Consider the following 6,000-nt stretch of genomic DNA (forward strand, 5'->3'; position numbering starts at 1 on the left):
CGAAGTGTTGGGATTACAGGTGTGAGCCACCATGCTGGCTTTCTGCAACTTTTCTCTTTTTCCAATTTGTCTTCCCAGTCACTGAGTGCTTTCCTTCCTCAAATCCATTCTCCAACATTTCCTGAGAACCGTCAAGATCTCAGTCCCTCTTTTCTTTGTCTGCAAAGACCTTAAGCAGTGGTCTTTTAGCTGACAAACAAATGCAGATGATTCCCCAGCAGAGACGGTGAACAGGTGCCACGTTCTGGCTCTCCATAGTTAGGGGACTGGGCATTTCTGTGTGATTCCTCCCTCTGAGGTGCAAGGCTCTGGTCACTTTTGTGGCAACGCTGTGTTTTCCTTCTCACCTGCCAGGTTTTGGGGCCTTGTCACAGATGCCAGATGATTTGCATCGACCAGCAAACTGGGCAACGAAACCAGCATGTTTTCCAAAAACTTTCTGAGAGTCGTGAAACAAAGGTAAGCGTGATTGCAAAATATGACACCTGGTTTCCAATCCTGGTGTTATCAATACCAGAACTATGTTCATAATAGCACAGAGTTATTTTTTTAAATGGGGGATTTGCTGCCCATCCAAAGCTGTTGGGCTGCCATTAACCTATCCTTGTTTGTAGTTTCATTTTATTTTTCCTTTCCATCCAAGTTCTCACTTTTTTTTGTTTTACTTCATGTATTTTTATGCTTTCCAATCTTGTTGAAGAGATATGGAGTACAAAAAAAACAAGTAATTCTGTTGTCTTGATCATTATTTTCTTTAACACAGAGAGCTCATGAAGAGTAAAGTGCCTTAATGTGAATAGAGTAGCTGCATAGAAAGAGTCAGTACATTTCATTAAACTGGAAATACATTCATTAAGCCTGGAAATTCATTTTCTTGAGGGTTAAAACAACAAAGTGTTGTTATGAATTCCAGATTATAGAAACTGAACTTCCAATGTGTTGATTCTTTAGAAAGATTTATTTTCAGGCTTATACTTTCTGTTAGGACTTTTTGTTTTCAAAGAATTCCAGGAAGCCAAGAAAAGCAGTCAGGCTACATAGAACAATTCTTGAAAATTAACAGAAATAATGCAAACACTGTATCTACTTCCAATAATAAGCTGGCAAGTTAATTCATGGTAAAATGTGCTACATTGTTTCCTGTGTTTCTTCAAAGCCAGGGTTTTGTTTCACAGTATAGACATTTGATTTATGTAAGTTTTCTTACCAATATGGGATAGAAATGGCCTGCAGAGTAGTGCATTTGACTGTTACAGCAGCATGTCTGTCAATGCAGGCTGTGTTGTCTGGGGTGTGGGGACCTTGAGCCTGCACCATGCAGGTTGCCAGGAGAAGAAAGAAGAAGGCACAAATACAATACTAAGGTCCATGAAAATAGTGTTTCTCAGCATCACTGCAATTTTCATGTGCATGATGAACCTTTTATTTTTAAATTTTGGAATAATTTTAGATTTACGGAACAGTTGCAGTGAGAGTGCAGAGGCTGCACTTTTCACCCACATTTGTACAAATCATGAGGAATTGGCCCAATCCCCTAGCCTGGGGCCTGGAACATGAGGGTGTCCAACAGATGTTATCACAAGAACTAACAGATCGGAGAGCATGTCAAGTCCTCCAAAGGGTCCTGAGTGGTTCACTTGCATTGATGGTTAACATTGAGCAGACTTACCTACTCTTCATTTTGGACCTTCCATCCTTATTCAGGAGAATTTGACAAAATTAACTTGCATCATTCTTTCTCAAGGAAAATGCAGAGTTCTGCCACTGTCTTCCCCAAAAGGCTTTTACATCAGGCAGCAAACAGGAAATGGGCCTGATGGTGGTCACAAGCTGAGAGTAGGAAGAAAGTCCTTCTGCAGGAAGTTCAGGGCATGTGGGACAGAGATGTGCCCAGCAAGAAAGAGGTGTGGGGTGACCACAGGGAAAGGATGCCTTAGAATGAGAATCTTTGGGGTCTAAAGTTAGGATTCTCTTAATGTTCCAGTGCATTCTACTGTGTAACAGATAGGAGATATCAAGTCTCAGTATATGTCTTTAAAAATCTGACTTGATTTTAGTTAAACATTAATATTTACAAAGTTATTTTAATTGCTAAAATAATCTAGCCTTTTTTGTTGTTGTTGCTGTTTTGTTCACAGGTGAACTTTGGCATGTACCTGATGCATGCATCATTGGATTTATCCTCCCCATGTTTCCTGTCTGTAGGATCTCAGGTGCTCCCTGTGTTGAAAGAGAATGTGGAAGGTCATGATTTACCTGCATCTGAGAAACACCAGGATGTTACCTCCTAAAAAAAATTTTTAGCATAAAGTTTCTCTTTTACAGTGATCTCTATTATTGTTAAGATCTGCAACTTGGTTCAGTAGAACTTGATGTTTTGAATAAGGAGAGCTCTTTTTCTTTAGAGGCAGGGAATGCTCTCACCTGCTTCCTTCTGCCTTTGACTTCTCACCCTGCAAATTTGCACTGGCTGTGCTCAGGAGAGCACTTCTGAGGCCTCAGGAACGAATGCTGCACCCACATCCAGTGAGGCTCCTGTAGGTATTTGAAGTATAATCACTTGTAATCAGATGAAATTTTTAATGAAGTTCACTGGGAAGATTGAACTTACTGCGGGTCCCTATTTTGCCATTTTCTCACATTGTTACTTTGTTTTTAGAGAGCATCTTTGGATCTCTCCAACCCGTTTGTAGTGAGGAAGGGAGTCTATGCCCAGTGATCCTGGGTATGAGAAGGTGCTCCTCTCCTCCCATGTACATGATGGTGTGGGTTTATGCTCAGGGGCCCAGAGGGTAACTTGTGACCACATTCCTTGAGGGGAGTTTCTACCAGAATATTTATATTCTGAGCAAAGGCACAGGCCAGCAATTCCTTTCCTGTTGCTTCCCATCCCTGGCCTCCGTCCTCATCCCCCACTGAGTTGATGCACTGAGGATGGCTCACGAGCCTGAAGTTACACTCAGTGATGGCTGTGCTTATGCAGGTTGTCATCCTCCCCTCCACAAGCCCACAGGATGGTGTTGGTCCATCACCCGAGAGCCTCCAAATCCTATCGAGGGAGGAACTTTGGCATTCAGGAATCCTGTCTGTATCATCTTTGACCACTGCTCCTGCAGCCTCCAGATGAAAATGTCCAGTGAGGAAATCTCATTCTCTAATGAAGTTACCCATCCCGCTGAGTTTCTAAGAAGTTTCTCCCTGTGCGGAGCTTGTGTGTGCCTTATCTGCTTCTGCATGACTTCCAGCCTGGGGTCTTACCCTGTCCTCTGGAGCAATGCAGAGTGAGTACATCCACTCCACATTCATTCTGCTGGCGTCCTTCTGAAGCCTGCTGTCCATGTGTGAACCCAGTCCCTTCATCATCTTCCCCCTGGATGGTTGTATTTTTCCAGTCACTTCTCCCCCAAATGTCTGCCTGCTGCAGCCCACTGCATCTTTTGAAAGCCTGTGCCACCCCATCTCTCCTGCTGCTCAGTTGGAGAGCAGGCTCCAGGCTCAGGCTTCCCTAATGTATCTGTTCAGAGCCTGTGGGATTCAGGGTCAGTTTGTTTCATTATCACATTTGTAGGACTTTGTGTTGTTCCCAGCACTAGGTGAGATTTGAAAGATGAGGTGTGCTCTGTTCTCAAGGATTGTTGAGATGGAGCCTAATGATTGCACACTCACGTGCTGTGAAGAGTTAAGGGTAAAAAGTACAACTCTGACTCTGGTTCCTGAGATCACCGAAAGAAGAGGCAAATGAAGTTAGGTGGGGTGGGGTGGGGTTTATTGTTTTGAACTGTTTATTAAAAACGCAACCTCTTCAAAGACTCAGCACTGCCACATCATATGAGTGGACTTGTCCTCATCAGCTAACTGATAGGAGAACAATGCCCTAAAGTAATGGATTTATCCACCTACTCAGGCCAGTTTCATGCAGGAGGGAACTTTCCAGATGGCACATTGCCCCATTTCCAAGACCTTCCGCTGACAAATGCATCATATTAATTATGATGGAAAACAAGTAAGAAGGCATGCTCTACAAAAATTAGGTCACTTGCCCAGGTGCGGTGGCTCACACCTGTAATTCCAGCACTTTGGGAGGCTGACGTGGGCAGATCATGAGGTCAGGAGATCGAGACCATCCTGGCTAACACGGTGAAACCCCGTCTCTACTAAAATACAAAAAATTAGCTGGGCATGGTGGCATGCACCTGTAGTCCCAGCTACTTGGGAGGCTGAGGCAGGGGAATCGCTTGAACCCGGGAGGCGGAGGTTGCAGTGAGCCGAGATCATGCCACTGCACACCGGCCTGGTGACAGAGCAAGACTCCATCTCAAAAAAAAAAAAAAAAAAATTAGGTCACTTTTGTCATCAAGAATATGTTTTTCTTATCCACGTCTATGTCACCTTTTGCAGTAGATACTTTCATGACTGATTTCAGGCTTTTTGTTTTTTTGAGACAGGGTCTCACTCTGTCACCCAGGCTGGAGTGCAGTGGCATGATCACAGATCATTGCAGCCTTGACCTCTTGGGCTCAAGCGATTCCCCTGCCTCAGCCTCCCAAGTAGCTGGGACTACAGGCACACATCACCACATCCAGCTAATTTTTTTTTTCTTTTTTTTCTTTTTGGTAGAGATGGCATCTCACTTTGTTGCCCAGGCTAGTTTTGAATTCCTGGGCTCAAGCCATCCTCCCGCCACAGCCTCCCAAAGTTCTGGGATTACAAGTGTGAGCCACTGTGCCCAGCTTTTGATTTCAGACATTTTAATGCAGATCCTCTCCTTTACAGCACTATTATTTGGTTATCTACTTATAATTACTGATTTAACATTGATCTGTTTTCACTAGACTGTAAGCTCCATGAGGACAAGTCCTGTGCCAGTATATCTCTAGTGTCAGCAGACAATACTCAAAATTTGTTGACAGACTATTTAAAGCTGCCCCTATTTTTATCATTAATTGATTGAATATTAATTAAATATATTTTATTAATTTAAAATGAATTTTAAATGCATTTTTTCTTTAGTGTCTACCTTCAATATTTCTTGTATGAAGTTTCAGCTAAAAATGTACTTTGTGTATCTGTAGAGTGGCTTCATATTCAGAGTTTATGGACATTTATGATTTTATGTCCCCTCCTTGGTTCTTATCTCCTGGAGTTCAGCCTTATGTGCTTCTCAAAGTGTATAACAAAATCAAAGACAATGTCATGTCCCTTGAATTTAATTCTAACACCAAACCTTGGTGTTAGAGTCACAAAAAGTCCTTTTTTAAAAAAACTTGGTGAGAACAGACAATAACTTGTCTTTCTGGGCATTCGCGTCATGGTCCTTTTAGCCAGAAGAGAGGTTTTCTTTTGCATAGTTTGGTGAGCATCAAGAATCCTTTAAGGAGGGTGGCGGTGCTGACTTCTCCCCATTGAGAGTCAGCCTCATCCCCTCCTCAGCCTTGTGGATGGAGAAGAACAGGCAGTGATATACATTTTCTGCTGTTGAAAGATGTCCGCTTATCCTTCTCTTTCAGTGAAAAGTTGCTTTTTTATTCAATATGTACTGAACAGGTTCTAGAGTTTCAGAAACAAAAGAAACAGAACCAACATTTATAGATCTCACTATAGAGGCATCACTAATTGGGGAAAGACAGACTAGGTAATAGTCAGATGTGATATAGTATGTTTAAGCTATAGGATGGCAGGTGCATGAGTGTTGGTTGTATTATTCTTTATTTTTTTGTATGACTTATGATATTCATGATAATTAAAACGTTTTGGAACAATTCATCTCAATTTTCTTTGCTTTGTTTAAAAAGCAAACATTGGCCAGGTGTGGTGGCTCATGCCTGTAATCCCAGCACTTTGGGAGGCCAAGGTGGGTGGATCACTTGAGGTCAGGAGTTCGAGACCAGCCTTGCCAACATGGCGAAACCCCATCTCTACTAAAAATATAAAAATTAGCCAGGCATGGTCGTGTGCACTAGTAATCCCAGCTACTCGGGAGGCTGAGGCAGGAGAATTGCT

The 6,000-nt window shown here is 42.5% G+C and overlaps 1 protein-coding gene across 1 annotated transcript in view; it reads left to right on the forward strand.

Moving 5' to 3' along the window:
• MOCOS (molybdenum cofactor sulfurase) overlaps positions 1-5,763 on the forward strand; it is an 84,661-nt gene extending 78,898 nt beyond the window's left edge. The window contains exons 14-15 of the mRNA NM_017947.4: positions 355-459; positions 2,139-5,763. Coding sequence (NP_060417.4) covers positions 355-459; positions 2,139-2,291 — 258 coding nt within the window. The 3' untranslated portion in view covers positions 2,292-5,763. The remainder of the gene's footprint in view (positions 1-354; positions 460-2,138) is intronic.

This window comes from Homo sapiens, chromosome 18 (assembly GCF_000001405.40).
Source record: "Homo sapiens chromosome 18, GRCh38.p14 Primary Assembly".
Taxonomy (NCBI): domain Eukaryota; kingdom Metazoa; phylum Chordata; class Mammalia; order Primates; family Hominidae; genus Homo; species Homo sapiens.